Below are 17,894 nucleotides of genomic sequence, written 5' to 3'. Positions count from 1 at the left end.
TTAGTATAGAAAACTTTAGCTTTTTGCCTTTGAAATTAACACAAAAGAGTAGAATGGCTGTATAAAGTAAAAATAATGTTTTAAAAGGACATGAGTTTTATCACATAGGTAGAAATAAAATACATGACAATAAGAATGCAAAGACTGGAATATGATAATTAGAAATATATTGTCATAAAGTTAGTAAATTTTTCATGAAGTAATAGAATAATTTAAAGATACATATTGTAATCCTTAAAGCAACCACCATCATAATAACAAAGAAACACTACTTCCCCACCAAAAATTTATTGGAGATAAGGTAAAACATATACCTAAGAATACTTTATTACACACAAAAAAGAATTGGAAACAGAGAAACAAAAGATTGGTCAAATATGAATCAAATACCAAGTTGGTGAGCTTAAAACTAAACATGTCAATAATTGAAGTAAAAGGACTAAACACGCTGATTAAATCCAGACTAGATTTTTTTTATAAGTTAGACTAAATTGTATGTCGTTTAAAAGAAACACATTTTAAACTTAAGGAACAAAGGGATTGGAAGTAAAATAATGGAAACATCAAGCAAAAAATTAAGCTGGTGAGGCAATATGAATATCAAAATAAAGTAGATTTCAAGCTGAATAGTGCTAGCAGAGATTTTAATGGGGCATTTCATAATGATAAAAGAATCACTTATTCAAGAAGACATAAGACTACTGAAAGTTTATACCCCCAATACAAAGCTCCCAAGTATGAGACAAAAACTGACAAAACAAAAGAGAACTAGACGCAAATTTACTGTCACCAATATAGATTTTAACACTATTTTCTCAGTAATAGATAAAACAATTAAATAAAAATCAGTACAGTTATGGATGATTTGAACAACACTAACCATCAATGTAAGCTAATTGACATTAATAGAAAATCATTCCACACTAGAGCAAGCTACAACTTCTAAGGTGCACATGAAATACTCAAAAAGATAGACATATCCTGGGCCATAAAAGAAGTTACAATACATTTCAAAGTACCTAAATTAAACAAAGTATTTAAATAATACAATGATGATAAATTAAACTATTAAATTTAATGAAGATGAATAAAAATAATATACATTTGAAAACCCCCCAAAGATTTGGAAGTTAAAAACACACTGCTAAATAATTCATGAGTCTAAGAAATCTCAAAGGATATTCCAATATATATTTTGAACAGAAATACATGAAAACACAACATATCAATATTTGTGGTATGCAACTAAAGCAATCTTTAGAAGGCAATTTATACATTTTAATACCTATATGAGAAAACAAGGCATAAAGTCAAGCATTTCTACTTCCATTTTAAGAAACTAGAAAAATAATAAATTAAGTCCTAAGTATGTAGCACAAGGATATAATAAAAAGAACAGAAATCAATAAAATAAAAAAAGTGAAATAGCCTTGTATAAAGAAATCAAATTTGTAATTGAATAGCAACAACAACAACAAAAAAAAAAAACACTCCCGGACTAGATAGTTTCACTAGTGAGTTATAACTTATGAATAAAAAATAATACTACTCTGACACAAACTCTCATAAAATAGCAGACGTGGGAACAATTTTCAGCCCATTTCATGAAGGGCAGGCATGGAAAATACAAGAAAAGAAAATTACAGCCAGCATATCTCAAGAAAATAGATACAAAAATGCTCTACAAAATATTAGCAAATGAAATCCAGCAATATATTAAAAAGTTAATATACCAAGATCAAGTTTGACTTTTCCCAGGAATGCAAGGTTAGCACTGTCAACAAAATAGACCGAGAAAAATATTGCAACACATATATCTGACAACAGATTTGTACCCAAAATATATTAAACATTCCTGCAGGTGGAGAATTTAAAAACCACCACCAACAATAATTTTTGCCTTAAGATTCAGTAATCCTGCTGCTAGTTATTTATTCAAGAGAAATCAAAACATATGTGTACACAAAGTCTTTTACAAGGATTTGTACAGCAGCTTTATTCATAAATACCCAATTATAATTTCCAGTCAGTAACTGAAAACAACCCAGATATCCTTCAACAGGAGAATGAATAAATAACCTGCAGTGTATCATTCAATGGAATACTAAGCAATAAAAAGATATAAACTATTGATACATGCAACTACCTGAATTAATTTCAAAAGCTATCATTTTGAGTGAAAGAAACTTGACACAAAAATTACATATTGAATTATTCCACTGATGTGATGTTCTAGAATAGTTAAAACTAATCTGTGGTGACAGACATCTGCCCATATATAGACAGGGTAGTGGTAGGGCAATGCCTGGGAAGGGTAACCAGGGAACTTTCTGGGATGATAGAGTTGTTCTATGTGTCTTGATATGCACTCAACACTAATTAAAGGCTACTGAGTTAGTCCATTTGCATTGCTCTAAAGGAATACCTAAGGCTGGATAATTTATAAGGAAAAAAAGTTTATTCTGACTCATGGTTCTCCAGGCTGTATGAGAAGCATGGTGCCGGCATCTGCTTCCAGTAAGGCCTCAGGGAGCTTTTTACTCATGGCAGAATGCATAGTGGCAGCAGGTGTGTCATGTGGCGAGACGGGGAGCAAGAGAGAGAACGAAGAGGTTCCAGACTCTTAAACAAACCCAGACTCTTAAACAAGCAGATCTCATGTGAACTAACTGAGTGAGAACTCCCTCATCACCAAGGGTATGGCCCTAAGCCATTCATAAGGGATCCACCCCCATGATGCAAACACTTCCTACCAACCCATACCTCCAACATTGAGGATTACACCTCAACATGAGATTCGTAGAGGACAAACATCCAAACCATATCAGGTACCCTTAAGATCTGTGCATGGTCATCCCTCAGTCTCCTCAGGGGATTGGGTCCAGGACCCGCCCTCCCCACAGTATACCAAAATCTGTGGATGCTCAAGTCCCTGATGATATAAAGTGCTGTATCCTATGCACATCCTCACATATAATTTAAATCATCTCTAGATTACTTGTAATACTTAATACAACATAAATGCTGTGTAAAAATGTGTTATACTCTATTTTTATTTTTTTATTATTTTTTATTTCTGCATTATTATTTTGTACTTTTTTTCTGAATATTTTGATTCAAGATTGGCTGAATTTGTGAATGGGGAACCAGCAGATATTGATGGATGACTTCATTTCACTGAATGTCAATTTTAATTGCATTTTTATCAGAGTGAATTACAATGCTTACCCATGTGTTTGAACATTATAGTTCACTGTTTTCAGAAATGGTATAACAGGTTAAGAATATTATAAGAGTCACAGGAAGCATGATAGTGAGAACTGGGTTCAGCAGGCACATCATCATGTAGGACCAGCAAGAAGAACAGGGTGGTGATGGAATTCAACCTTCAGAAGAAATTACCAGGGCAGAGAGATCTGAGAGAGAAGTAACTCAATCATTTCTTATAATCCCTCCGATTCCAAACCTCCCTAAAATGATTAAATACATTTTAATGGCAGGGCAGAATATTAGGGATAATGTGCTTTCAGTAGCTCCATTTCCCTCACCCCTCAAATTTCCCTCAATCGCTTGCCAAAACCTAAGTTTCTATAAAATAATGGGAAATAATTATCTTACTTTGCAACTCAAAATAAAAGAGCTTACAATATAAATGCATGGTTAAGATAATACTTTAAGATAAATGAATTTTATTCCTAATCAGTGTATGAATGCAAATAAGCACTGATCTTTCCTGTTACTGGTAATGTAGAAAGAAGAGAAAGAAGCAACAGTCCAATTTAGCACACATTTACTGAGAGTGTAACATGTACTAAATCAGTGGTTTTCAAGCTTTTGTGACTGTGACCTTTACTAAGAATTGCAATTTATATTGCAGCCCTGCATGTACGTACATATGTATAACTAAAGCTGTGTTATAAAATAAAACATGTACTTGCTAAATAAGATGGAGTCTGGTACTTACTAGACTAGTATAGTCTGTTTCATGTTTACAGAAATGCAAGTCATGATGCATTAATTTCACCACCCGCTAAAAGGTTGTGAACTGTGGTTTGAAAAACACAGTGCTATTCTTTCTACTCAAAATGTGGTCTGTGGACCAACAGCAGCAGCATCTGGGGACTTGTAAGAAATGCAGAACCTGAGACCATACCTCGCACCTAATGAATCAGAATCTGCATTTTAACTAAACCTCTAGGTGCTTCCTGTGCACTTTAAAGCATCAGAAGCCCTGTGCTAGACGATGCCTGAGGAGGATGCTCTGGACAGATGAAGTCTTCTTGGTATTGCTTAAGGCAGAGACTCTTCCTCGGAGATAGTCTGTATTCAGAATAGGCATATTGAAGCCCCAAACTAAGTCCAATTCAGTATCTCCAAGGATATCTCAGGGCATTTTTATTAAAAAAAAAAAAATATGATCCACGAAAGCCTCTGAATCAGACCCTATTTAAGAACCACTGGTATAAAAAGTTAAATGAAAGTTGTGCACCGATTAAGTCATTTGTTTGTTTACTGTTATACAAAGGTGCAAACCAATGCTTCCAGTAATATGGAAATACTTTATTTTATATTTCTTTGTGGGTGACTTCATAGAAAGGCACTTTATTCACACAATACTTATTGATGGGGGTATTCCTACTGCTTCTTTTGAATTTACTTCTCCTTATCAGAGAATTTCCAAACATCTCCATTTTACCAATAATTGCCCTTTTATAGAAATGTAATATGACTTCTGGTAGAAATATTATTATTAGTCCTGCTGAGATAGCAAAATTTATCCCTGGATGACCTCCAGTCAATCCCTTACCAAAGATCTCAACTGCTGAAGAAAATGGGGCTGTCTCTAAGTGGCCATCACTGTTCATTAAGGTCCTTGCCATTGTGTTCTTATCTTTCCTGAGTAATGGGAAGCTTTAGTCTGGAAGTTGCTAATCTTGCTAACACTAAAAGGCTTTCTCCCATTAGCAGCTTCTGTGTTGCATTAATAATCAGAAAGTAATAAAGAGACCGACCTCAGCTGTTCGGTCTCCCCTGAGATGAGGCCCCAGCTTCCCTCTTATCCCCATGGTCCACTCTAATGGTCTTGCCTATATTAAAGTAATAGAGTGAATAATAAGATAAGTGCTGTCTATTTTATCAGAGTCTAAAATTCCTTCTTCTTTTTGGGGAGGACACCTTTTTTTTTTTTTAAGACATCCAAATTGAAAACTATACCATCAATACTTTTGCAATTGAAATTGACCTGTTTAATTCATATTGTTTTAAAAATGTAAGCGTTGACTATCAAGCACAGGAAAAAAATGTTTTAGAAAAAATAAATCCCTCCACCTTTCTTGGAAGAGTTATAAAACAGATAACTCTCCTAGGGATGTCTTCTTGTCCTTTTTTGAGTAAATCAAATTACTCATCTGAACAGCAGTAAACTAAAGAAAACTAAAGATCTTTGATTTTATAAGTATGAAAAACTTGTCAATAAACAAAAAAGAAATGAAGAGAAAATAACATATTAAAACTAAATAAGTAAGATTGGATTTGACAGGTTCAAGGTGCATGTTAATAAGTTGTCTTTGTTGTTTAAAATGTTCATAAAGACAGGAACTAATGCTGGGATTAATTGCTTATGTTCTTTTTCTGTTGAAAATGTTCTTTTGCAGAAGTGCACTTCTTAAAGGTTCCCTTGATTTAAACATCTGTTTTTAAATGTATATGATCTGTGTATGGAATTATATTATCTATGCGGTAGTTAGTTGATTGTAATTTTTCATTTTAAAATAAAACTACTTTTTCTTTCAACTATATATTTTTAACTGGGAAAACAGGTAATTCACCTTGAAAGTGTTGCTCATTCCTTGTACTCAAATACTAGAAATTTTTTCTCAATTTACACTGTTGTATCCTGATTTTGAAAGACTAACTTTATAATTAGGTGATATATTGCCTATTTTTGCACTTGTAATTTAGAGGAAAAAAGGACCAATATCAATCATCATTATCAGTGACTAAACAGTGACTCAATGTATTTTTTTAAAATAAAATATATGTTCATAACCCTCTAACAATGAATCACTGTGATTAGCTCTATGCAATACTTATGTAAGATTCAGTAAATGACAGTAAAAAACAACTAAAAACTATTTTCTAAAAACTTATAATCAACATACTTTTTCTTATAAGTACTTAACAGTTTGAGGGGAAAAATGGGGGCATTATCTAATAAATCAGGGATGCTCATCTAAATTTTTAAAAATTATACATGAAAACTTTCTTTGAACGAAAAAGTCCATAATCTGGAAATAAGAAAATGCTAAATATGTTTCAGTAAAATAGACAGTAGATCTCTCCCTCAGAGAGGTGAAAATTTAACTCCCTTTTAACTAAATAACTCTTTCATATGGTCTATTAGGCAAATAATTTTGATGAATCCAATAAACTCACATGCTTTTTGTTTTATTTAGCATGCAAAATGCAAACGTGTTCACCACATACCAATGGGAAACATATTATTGTTAGAGTTGTCTTTAAATTGGAGGAAAAAAAAGAGTTGCTTTTGACATTCTTATGAAGCTTCAATAGCAGACAGGTCCATTGGGAAAGTAGCAGCTTTAATTAAAGAATTGTCCTGGAGTTGTAGATATAATGCACAATTACCTGAATTCCTTTTACTGTTTTTCTGTCCTACAGTCCATGAAGGCTCTGGAGAAACTAGTCAAAAGGAGACATCCACCTGTGATATTTGCCAGTTTGGTGCAGAATGTGACGAAGATGCCGAGGATGTCTGGTAATATGCTGTTTTTATTCTTTTAGACAAAATAATGACAGTGATTAATTTCTTTTTAACACCATCAACCATTCTGCAACAGAAGACATTGTCTGCATTTTTATTTTCTTATTCAGTTCCCAAGTGAAAAAAAAAATGAGGGCAAGGAATTTCTGGAACTGGATTAAGAGGTGGGCCAGCCAAGCAGCTATCCATGGCATTACTTGATAAGGCACACTAAAATATCATTGAAGCCCCCCAAAACTGTCAATGTTAGGATATAGAGGGAAAAAAAAGTCTTATTTACTAGAATATCTTTGAAAAAGTATCATCAGAGCCAGGTGTGATGGCTCAGGCCTGTACTCCCAGCAGGCCTGTACTCCCAGCACTTTGGGAGGCCAAGGCAGGAGGATCGCTTGAGGCCAGATGTTTGAGATCAGCCTGGGCACAAAGTGAGACCCACATCTCCATAAAAAAAAATAATAATAATTAGCTGGGTATGGTCACACTAGCCTGTAGTCCCAGGTACTCAGGAGGCTGAGGAGGGAGGAACACTTGAGCACAGGAGGTTAAGGCTACAGTGATCTGTGATCATGCCATTGCATTCCAGCCTGGGCCACAGAGTGAGACTTTATCTCAAGATTTTTAAAAGGCATCATCAGGCAGCAATAGATGATCAGACTTAGTCTGTTTGGGTTTCTATAACAAAATACCATAAACTGGGTAGCTTATAAACAAAAGAAATTTATTCCTCACCATTATGAAGGCTGAGAAGTCCAAGATCAAGGCAGATTTAGTGTCTGATAAGAGCTCACTTTCTCTTAAAATAGCCTTCTTCTTACTGAAGCTTCACATGGCAAAAAGGGCAAGGGAGGTCTGTGGAGCCTGTTTTATAAGGGCACTAATCCCATTCATGAAGGCTTCACCCCCATAACCTAATCGCCTCCCAAAGGTCCTACCTCCCAATACTATCATCTTGGGGGTTAGGATTTCACCATATGAATCTGGGGAGGGGGACAGCAACATTCAGATCATACCAGTTGCTAATCTGACTTCTAAGATGATGGAGTAACTACTCTTTTAAAGATATGTTCATCAGATAATGAATAATACTTATTATTTTGAATGGGTGCCAACATTTTAGCTTTCTACTGTATTCGTCCCACCTTAAGCACATTGAAAAGTGAATAACTCAAACTTCTGAGGGAGTTCTTTGTGTCATGATAATGAAAAGCAGCAGCCTTTTTTTATTCCTCTCCTATTCTCTCTTCTGCTCCTCCCCTCCTCCTCTTCCTCTTCTTCCTCTTCCACTTCCTCTTCTTCTCCTCCTCCTCCTTTCCCTCCCTGTCTTTCCCCTTCTCCTCTTCTTTTCCTTCTCCTTTGTCTTCATCTTCTTCCTATTATTATTATTGCTATTATTTCTCTCTTTTTCTTTTTTACATATACCTCACCCCTTTCAGGAAAACATCTGGCTGCTCTTTATTTTCTGCAGTATGTAGACTGTGCTTGCCTAGAGCAGTTAACCATCATTTTGATCAAACTTTTGTGAGTAGAGGGGAAAATTCATCTAAGGAAAATGAAGAAAAAAAATTAAGACAAGATTATGTGGCAGTAGTAAAACAGTCTGCACTTAAAATATTTTTTAAGTGAAGATTCTATCTGAGCAAATGGTGGTTCTTAGGGTAAACTACGTACTTACAAGTAAACACTGCCTTTGAATAGCCAAGTGAAATAAACATCTATTACTAAAATCAGACAGCAGTAGAGTTTTCATGCCTGTCAAACACTTCTAGCCAATGGGCAGCTAGGAGCCGAGTGAGAGAGTCTATGCACTGGTTTGACCATCTTGAGGTAAACAAATGTATGTTTTTTGTTTTTTATTGAGACAGAGTCTCGCTTCTTTTTTTTTTTTTTTTTTTTTTTTTGAGATGGAGTCTCACTCTGTCGCCCAGGCTAGAGTGCAGTGGCACGATCTCAACTCACTGCAACCTCCGCCTCCCGGGTTCAAGAGATTCTTCTGTCTCAGCCTCCTGAGTAGCTGGGATTACAGGTGCGCACCACCATGCCCGGCTAATTTTTGTATTTTTAGTAGAGATGGGGTTTCATCATATTGGCCAGGCTGGTCTCAAACTCCTCACCTCAGGTGATTTGCCCGCCTCGGCCTCCCAAAGTGCTGGAATTACAGGTGTGAGCTACCACGCCCAGCCAACAAATGTATGGTTTTTAAAAAACATCCTAGGGACCTTAATGGCTGATGAATTTGTGGTTCCCAAAACTGAGAGATTGCCAGAAGTACTTTGAGAATTTTTTTAAACATACCAGTTATTTAGTTCTGCCCCAAAATTAATGAATCAGAATTTCAGAGAAGTGGGACTCAAAATTTTACTTTTCTACAAGACCCCCAGGGGATTATGGAAATACTACTCTAAAATAAATGACTAATTCAAAGACTCTTTCTCCTTCCTAAATGCTTTAGGGCTCTTCTGTAGTCATAAGATCAAGACACACAAATAGGAAATGTATCCTTAAAATATTTCGTTTCTAACGTTTATTGGTGACTGCATCTGTATTTCAGCATCATTTTTTCAAGCTGTTTTCTTATAAATTGTTTCACTTTTTAAAAAATGTACATGAGTCTCTTTTTTTTAAGAATTTTAATTTTCCTAGTTCCTTATCTTTTTAATGATTATTCTTTAAGTGGTATAGCTCCATTCTCCAAGACATTTAAGACATGAGCTTTTAAGAGCAGCTGAAAATTATTGGTTGTTTACTATGGGTTTTATCCATTTGTATACTGTTTTTTTTTCTCAGCTATCTTCAAAATAGCCATAGGAGGTAGATTCCATTATTATTTTACTCTAAAAAGAGAAAACTGAGTTTTAAAGTGTTAAAGTGGCAGGACCAAGATGAAGATACGAGGTGAAAGTAACTAAAGGTTGTTAGCATAACAATTCAACCAAAGATGCAATTGAAACAATATGTCTTTGCTGTCATGTCTAGACAATGAGATGGCCAGATTGCAGGCAGCATATTTGCAGTGACTCTCCAAGGCCTGCAAGGTTAGAGCTGGTCTAGGTAGATGTTTGCAGCTGGAAGTGGGAAAACATCCAGGCAAGCAGGGGGTTAATCCTGGTATTCTTGCAAAAGTTCAGATCCATGGTATGAAGGCAGTATGAAAAGATATGGGCAAGGATAGTGGCACCAGAAAGGCTTAGCAATTGTCTACAGGGCCCAGCCATGGCAACTGTACTTCAGAAAATAAATTCAGTTACAAATGAGACAAGGAGAAGGACAAAGGAGAACCTTAGTCATGGAGAAATTGGTGTCAATCAGAAAAACTCGTCAAGAACTGAAACAGGAAAGCCTGGATAGATATTGCAACTGGTATACAAAGCCAAGCCTTGGTTACAAGTTGCTGGGAGAAGCATAGCCTACATCTGAGAAATAAATTACAAGATCAGAATGAAACCAGCAGCAAAGCTGAGTGCTAAATCAGTTAGCTCTTGGCTATGATATCTTGTATGCCCCCAGCATAGGGACAAGATTAGCTCCAAGATGCAGAATAAGCCTGAACCTCCAGATGGGGGCTAAGTGGCCACGGCTGTGAAGATTAGAGGGCTGTAGGGGCAGGGAGCCAAGAAGATCATTAGACTTCCAAGACAAGAACAAAAGTTATTAGTGTTTAAATAAAATGTATTTAAAATGTTGAATGTAAGCAATAAGGAATTGTGCTGAAATGACAAGTGCATTGATTTTCATTTACATACCTTGTATGTTAACGTACCTTTGTATGTTAACATATTGTATTTAGTCATGGCCATGAAGGGCAGATTGGAAACAGCTGAAGGACACAGGAATAAAGCAATGAGTGAAATTAAATAGGCATAGAATGAAAGAGGCTGTAAAGTAAGATAGGAAGCAATAGCGGAGTGATCTGACTATAGTACTAGGCAACAGAACCTTCACTAAATCAAGGGAGCGTTGATACGCTATTGATTTTGGATGACACCACGGCCAGGTTCTCTCAAACATAAAATACTACATATGATAAGTGGCAACAAAGAGTACAACTTATTGTTTTATTTTGCCTTTAACACTAACTAAACTATAATTTTATGTGTACAGATTTCCTCAATCCTGCATTATGAAATAATAACAAGATGTGAATAACTGCTGACGTGAAATAATGTTCTTACTATATCCACAATACTGAAACTAAGGTGAAAAATTAATTCCTGATCTTTCTTTAACCCTGGCCTAATAAGTTAATATTTTGCATTTTCCCACTGGGTTAAATCTAGTTATTCAAACATTCTTAAGTACTTTCAAGATGAAGATAAATCTTTATTAGAATAAAAAAGTCAGTACACAGTTAGCTGATCATGTTTTCATAGTTAGATGAGTTTTTGAGTTCAGAAGAAAGTCACACTGGAGATGGGAATAAAAAAATTAATAAATAGGGGAAAGAGAAGGAGAATAAAAGAAGAAGAGAAAAAATAATAATTAGATGGCATTGACAAACTATGATACTAATGACATAACATTTTAATGCTTTTATTTTGAGAAAACAGATGGCTTGTAATCTAATCTAAGACCGTAGTTTATGTTCTATGATTTCATTTCAAGGTTTTTCTCTTGCATTTTCCTTACATGGAGAACATCAAGGCTGTAAAAAATCAGAAAATTTTAGGTTCTCTCAATAGGAAAGGAAGACCATTGCTACAAAATACTTTTTCAGTTATAGATATTAACTTAAATGTAGGAAAGGATTAAGCTTCCAAAAGAGGGTTAAAATTCAACAGGACAAGTTATTCACACGCCAGTACATCCATTCTCATAATAGAGGTATCTTTCATTAAGGATGGACTTCGAAAGTAACTGAAACACCTGTGTGAAGGGATGTGTGTGCCTGTTTATGGGGAAGGGGTTAAGAGAAGAAGAAAGGGATTAAAATATCATTTCTCTTTATATCCAGACTGAAAACAGTCAAAACTAATACATTTATACATAAAAGGGATTCTCAAATACACCCTGCCAAATATAATTTATAAAGAAGAAGAATGGCTTATAAATAAGTCAAATATAATAAAATTGACTCATTGCAAAGTAATAAAGCTCCATCTGATAGCATTGGGAATACCAACTTATGATTTCAGCAAATATTTCTGATTTCACTTTAGAAACAGCCTTATATTCCCTTAATTATCTTACCTGATAAATTATCTCAGTAAGTCCAAAGTAGGTCAGTGGAAACTCTTTTCTCTGGGAACTATTCCTTAGAAGTAATTAGCCTGGAACTTTCTGTTGGTTCTGTCAGTCAGAAGTAGTTCAGAGCCCGGGGGTTGATACTTGATTTAATATACATATACATACAAAAGCACTGATAGCTGGGTCTGACCATAGGAATGGCTGGGTATGAAATTGGCTGCATGCCTAATATTTCCAGGAACAGAGCACAGGTGCACAGGTTTAAGAGCAGATGCAGCCAGATGACAAATGACATAAAGGGACAACTTAAATTATTAGGTATATTTGCTTTATATGTATTCTTCATAGCTCTTTATCCCTGTTTTAACTTTGCTTTTGTAGTATTCTCTACATGCCACTCAGGCTCCATTAGCGATATCATATTGGCATAAATGCTATTAACTCCTTAGTAGTCATTTTGTCTTTGAAAGCATTAATAATATTTTCCAGTTTTAGTGTATAACATCCTTAGTGTTTGAGTGCAATGGTAAGAAAGGAAAGAAGCAAAGTTGTTGCAAAAAAATGAGTTCCAAAGAGGAATGAATGAATGTTTATTATTTTCTCTATTTCATTGATGTTTCATAACTGAAACAGGGTGTGGGATCTGGCATTTCTTTTCTGGGTGTCTCTTACAAAGACAGTTTAGTTTGAAGTCTTTAACATCTTGCTCCTTTGATCTGAGAAAGCTCCCTGTCATTAGGAAGATTGTGTGTTATTGGCAACCTGCCCACATTTAATGCATTTTGGATTGTGGAGGCTCATGAATATTTGAAGTGGGGCAATGGCCATGGATGATCCTTGGCACTAGATTTCATCATAGGTATAAGTAAATTAGACATTAGGTCTTGCTGACTTTAGTACCTTTGGTTTGTGAGTTTGATAGGGAAAATTAAGACACCTCTGAGGAAAATACAGAAAGTGGTTTTATTTAAAACCACTCCTGGTTGACAATTGAACAAAAAGATTGTATTTAAAATGGAAACTGCAATCTTTGTATTGTTTTTCTACTAAGTAAAAAGGTCAGACTTGGATATGGTACATTTAAAGAGGATGCTGATTAGTCACAAAATTTTAGCCATCTAAGAGTTCATTCAGTTTCTCCCTAGGGTGTTTCCCTTTTATTAATTTCCTTTGCTTTCTGGCCCCAGAAGTGTAACTGGTAACCAATTTTAGGTGTGGTTTCTAATATAAGTTTACTCATGGAGACAATGAAAAAAAAAAACCCAGAAAAAAGATAATAGATCTGCTCTAGAAAATCCAAGGTTTTTTTTGAATGTGTGCATGGCTTTTTGAGAAAACATTTTAGTTTCAAGATTCCTGGAGTTGAGGTATGACCTCCCTCCATTTACCTCTTATCTCCACCTTGAAGACAGTAGCTGTCACCTCTGAAAGCTGCAGTAGCGTTTTCTGTTTGTGTCAATGAGTGGGAACTGAAGAGTAGATACCTCTCATTCCTTTAATGATTCCATTTGCCCAAAAAATGTTTCGGGGTGGGGAGTGCACATACAGCTCCTGACTTAGGGAAGCACATATCTTTCCACTCAGAATTTCAAGGGGAAAATGTTGATAGTTTTTAGCAAAGGTGTGTCCAAATCTGAAAGTTGGGGTTTGCTTTCATTATTTCTTTCTTTTCTGTATTTCTTCACCTATCTTGATCAAGAAAATAAACAGCTTATATTTTTCTAAATTTCACACGATGTAATAAAATTTAGAAGTAAAAGACTAGGAATTCTGACATGGTCTGTACGATGGTCTATACAGGGCATTAAACAATGCCCAGGGTCAACAAATGCCATATTTGCAATCCAAACTTCTCTCTGCAGTAGCTGCCGGTAATCCAACCTGCAAACTGAAGTTAAAAGCTTCAAATGTTACTCAGGAAGACAAATGAATAACAATGACACTTCTAATATGCAATAGTCAAATAATAACAACCACCAACAACAACTAACCACCCCTCCAGAAAAAGGAGGGTTATGAAAGTAAAAAATAAAAAAAATTGAAAAATAAAAATAAACAATAGTCTTTAAAACCTTGAGTCTTCTGTGATGCTAGCCTACCTTTTTTATTTAAAAAAATGGGTTTTCACATAAATTCTAGAGAATCTTTTAAATTCTTCTCTGTATCCATACCTCAACTGTACTAGCTATCACAGTGATTAATGAAACTTAATTAGGTTATGACAGCTACAAACCCAGATCTGGTGTAGAATACCAAGAAATATGGGGATAAAGAATTCTGAACTTCAATGTGTTTTATTTGTTTTTACAATATTTATTAGGCCATGCAGTTTAAATCATGTAATTTCTATTTTATATCAAAATCATAAAATACTGCATGGCAACAGAACAAAGGAAACAAAACTCCTAAGTACAGATTGTATTTCTACCACTAACTTAACAGTTTTCATTACTTGTTTCTCTTTTTACTTGCTTTTTTTGTTTGTTTGTTTGAGATGGAGTCTCACCCTGTGGCCCAGGCTGGAGTGCAGTGGCGCTATCTCAGCTCACTGCAAGCTCCGCCTTCCAGGTTCACACCATTCCCCTGCCTCAGCCTCCCGGGTAGCTGGGACTACAGGCGGTCGCCACCACGCCCGGCTAATTTTTTGTATTTTTAGTAGAGATGGGGTTTCATCGTGTTAGCCAGGATGGTCTCAATCTCCTGACCTTGTGATCCTCCCGCCTCAGCCTCCCAAAGTGCTGGGATTACAGGTATAAGCCATCGCACCTGGCCTTTACTTGCTTTTTAAATCTTTGCTTGCTTTTGAAATCTTGTTGCAGGCCACACCCTGTTAATGGTAGGTTGCCTAACTTTTGGTGCTCACTCATTAAACTCACTCTCTATTTCTTCTTGAGTTTTCATGTCTCAGTTTCTAGCATATTCTGAGTCAGCGATTCCTGTCTCCACACTCAGGGAATACCTGCTCCATGTTCCGATGTCCCAGTGTAACATCCCAGTCTCAAAGATAATAATAGGAATCTCATTGTAGTTATCAAAGTGTGACAAACCTTTCCAAAGCGTGTCAGACACCATCCTAAATGTCTAGATTTATAGAGCCATTTAATCCTCACCACAGTCTTATGAATGTAATACACTAGTAATTCTCATGTTACAAAACAGAAAACTGAGGCACAGACAGGTTAATCAAACTTCCCAAACCCAAACAGCAAGTGAGAGAGCCACAATTTGTGCCAGCCAGGCAGACTCCATGCTCTTAACTACCACTCAGGGTCTTCTCTTATAAATTATGTGTGTATATAAGTGTATATTGTGAGTATGCACACACACACACACACACATAGACCAAATGTATCTATCTTATATATTCAGGATAGAATTTTACATGTTTTAATGGGAAAACAAAGACTTTAAGTGGCAGTTTGGGATGAAATTCACCACTAACACACCTACATTGTGTATGATGCCCTTGAAGTTCTTTTTCACTCAGTATATAAAATATATTTCTTTGTAGTCCCCTTCAAGACTGTGTAGTTTTCATTTGTTTGTTTTTCACAGAGGTATTGAATTATTCTTATCATGGTTATGCATGCATCCAATCAGATGAGAATGTTACTAGACTTAAGGTTGCATAGAAGAGACATACCTTCACCAAAACCTGAGGTTTTTTTAGCTGCTTCAATTCAATTTGCCTGTTTTGCAGTGGCAGTGGCAACCCTGACTGTGAGCCAAAGCTTATTACAAATGTCTATTTCTGCTGTAAGAATAGAAATTCCTGGAGATGAGAAATAGAAAAAGAGGGAAGAGTCACCAAATTAAATAAAAATAAATATGACAGTGGATTTTAATCTGTATCTTAGTAGATTAAATGCCCTGCTGTATCTTTTAATTTAGCACTTAAAATATGATGTGAAGCCTCTTATGTTCCAATATAACATATATTTTTGATGGTTATATTAAAATGGGTTTTACATTTTTTCTAAATATAAATACACACATTCCATCATAGTGATTTAAAAAAAAATAGAAATACAAAAACTTTAGGAAAATGTCATCCCTCTCTAAGATAACCATTGTGAAATTTGGAGATATATTTTCTGTGTGTGTGTGTGTGTGTGTGTGTGTGTGTGTGTTTTATGAGAATCTAATAATATTTTACATATTAACAAAACCACTTATCTTGAAAATTTTTAGTTAATCTTGAGGGTGAGTTATTTGGTGATTGTTAGGAATGCCAAACCAATTTAAGAATAATGTATTTATACTGGAATGCAATTTCTGTGTCCCAAGCTCTGATTATTCTTTCTAAATTTTCAGCACTTCTAAAAAAAAAAAATTCGTTTGAGCGTACTGTCCTAACATTTGTGATCTAAAAAATTATCAAAGCCTATATCCCCTCTAAGCCTGTGTTAAACATTTTTCTTGTTTAACTCCAAGAGATTAGACAGTATGTTAACTGAAAACATTTCCACTGTCTGTATCCAGAGTGTTCATAATAAATAGCTTTCTGAGGCATAAGCATTGTTAGATGAGAAACTGTCCTCCCAAAGGTGTATTAAATCGGGTAGAAACTGTTGCTGGTCTTCTGTGGTTTACTTCCAAATAGTAATATATTGTATGTGTTGACTCATCTAAACTACAAATCAGTGAACCATCCTCAGCAGCCAACATCAGTCTGTTCCAGACACATTTCCCTACAAACAGGGCATATAATATCTAATAAATGATTGAACAAATTGTAAAATTATATGCAACACCCAATCAAAACATCAATACTGCTGAAAGTCTAAATGCTTATTACAGAAAAAAGCCAATAAATAATGAAAACGAATATCTGATTTTCTAGCCCCCCTAATGTAAAGTAAAATTAATCAAGAGTGGGTCCATTCATCCTTTTATCACTAAGCTATGAATGGAACATAAGAAATCAGGACAATGCATTTGGGACAGATGATCTTCTGAAGATTGTTTACCACAGCTCTCTTTTATTTATTGCAGCCTTTCAAAGTCTTTGACACAGTAGTTCACTGTATTCTCTGAGCTCATCCTGAAATGAGCTTTCTACAATCAAAATTATATTATCCATGGTAATAAAAGTAATGGTAGGTTCTAACAAGCCATAAGGGCTTATAATAAGCAGATATTAGGAGATGTTTATCTGGGAGAAGTGCACAACAGTTTGGAAAAAGGCAAAAATAAGAAATAAAATAAAATATTAGCTTCACATTAGCAAAAATTAGTGATGTATTTCTGTAATAAACATAGGTATCTGCAGGCCGGGCACAGTGGCTCATGCCTGTAATCCAAGCACTTTGGGAAGCTGAGGCAGGCAGATTGCCCAAGCTCAGGAGTTTGTGACCAACCTGGGCAACACGGTGAAACCTTGTCTCAACTAAAATACAAAAAATTAGCTAGGCATGGCAGCATGTGCCTGTAGTCCCAGCTACTTGGGAGGCTAAAGCAGGAGAATTGCCTGAACCTGGGAGGCAGAGGCTGCAGTGAGCCAAGATCACGCCACTGCACTCCAGCCTGGGTGACAGAGCAAGACTCCATCTAAAAAAATAAAAATTAAAAAAAAAAAAACAGGTAACACAGGTATCTGCATAAATTTGGAACTTAGGATATTCAAATATAACATCAAATTATCAATAATGATGAAAAATAAAAATGATATATTTGATTACAGTATGCAACTTAACTTTCAATTAAAATTGTCTTCCCCAGAAAGTATGTTGATTTTTGGAAAAAGAAAACACAACAGAACTGCTTGCATTACAGCTACACTGGGTGGTCAGACTTGGGGGGAAGAAAGAAAAGAAAAAGAAGCCCTGCACTGATCAATATATTGGTATATTAATCAGGGTTATTCAGAGAAACAAAGGAATAGGAAGCAAAAAATTTTCTAGTGAATCACTAGAGATAATAGTGGAAG

The 17,894-nt window shown here is 35.3% G+C and overlaps 1 protein-coding gene and 1 long non-coding RNA gene across 6 annotated transcripts in view; one reads left to right on the top strand and one right to left on the bottom strand.

Moving 5' to 3' along the window:
- The window catches only part of TMEFF2 (transmembrane protein with EGF like and two follistatin like domains 2), a 245,888-nt gene that overhangs the window by 130,477 nt on the left and 97,517 nt on the right, over positions 1–17,894 (top strand). For all 5 annotated transcript variants that reach the window (XM_011510890.4, XM_017003739.3, NM_016192.4 and 2 more), the window contains one exon: positions 6,682–6,778. In XM_011510890.4, the coding sequence (XP_011509192.1) occupies positions 6,682–6,778 (97 nt within the window). The remainder of the gene's footprint in view (positions 1–6,681; positions 6,779–17,894) is intronic.
- Positions 628–17,894, bottom strand: part of CAVIN2-AS1 (CAVIN2 and TMEFF2 antisense RNA 1) — a 217,342-nt gene continuing 200,075 nt past the window's right edge. The window contains exon 4 of the long non-coding RNA NR_187184.1: positions 628–15,737. This is a non-coding gene — a long non-coding RNA (CAVIN2 and TMEFF2 antisense RNA 1). The remainder of the gene's footprint in view (positions 15,738–17,894) is intronic.

The sequence above is a fragment of the Homo sapiens genome, chromosome 2 (assembly GCF_000001405.40).
Source record: "Homo sapiens chromosome 2, GRCh38.p14 Primary Assembly".
In the NCBI taxonomy this organism is placed as follows: Eukaryota; Metazoa; Chordata; class Mammalia; order Primates; family Hominidae; genus Homo; species Homo sapiens.
Note: the sequence above shows the minus strand (reverse complement) of the source record. Positions and strands in the feature narration are given on the sequence as shown.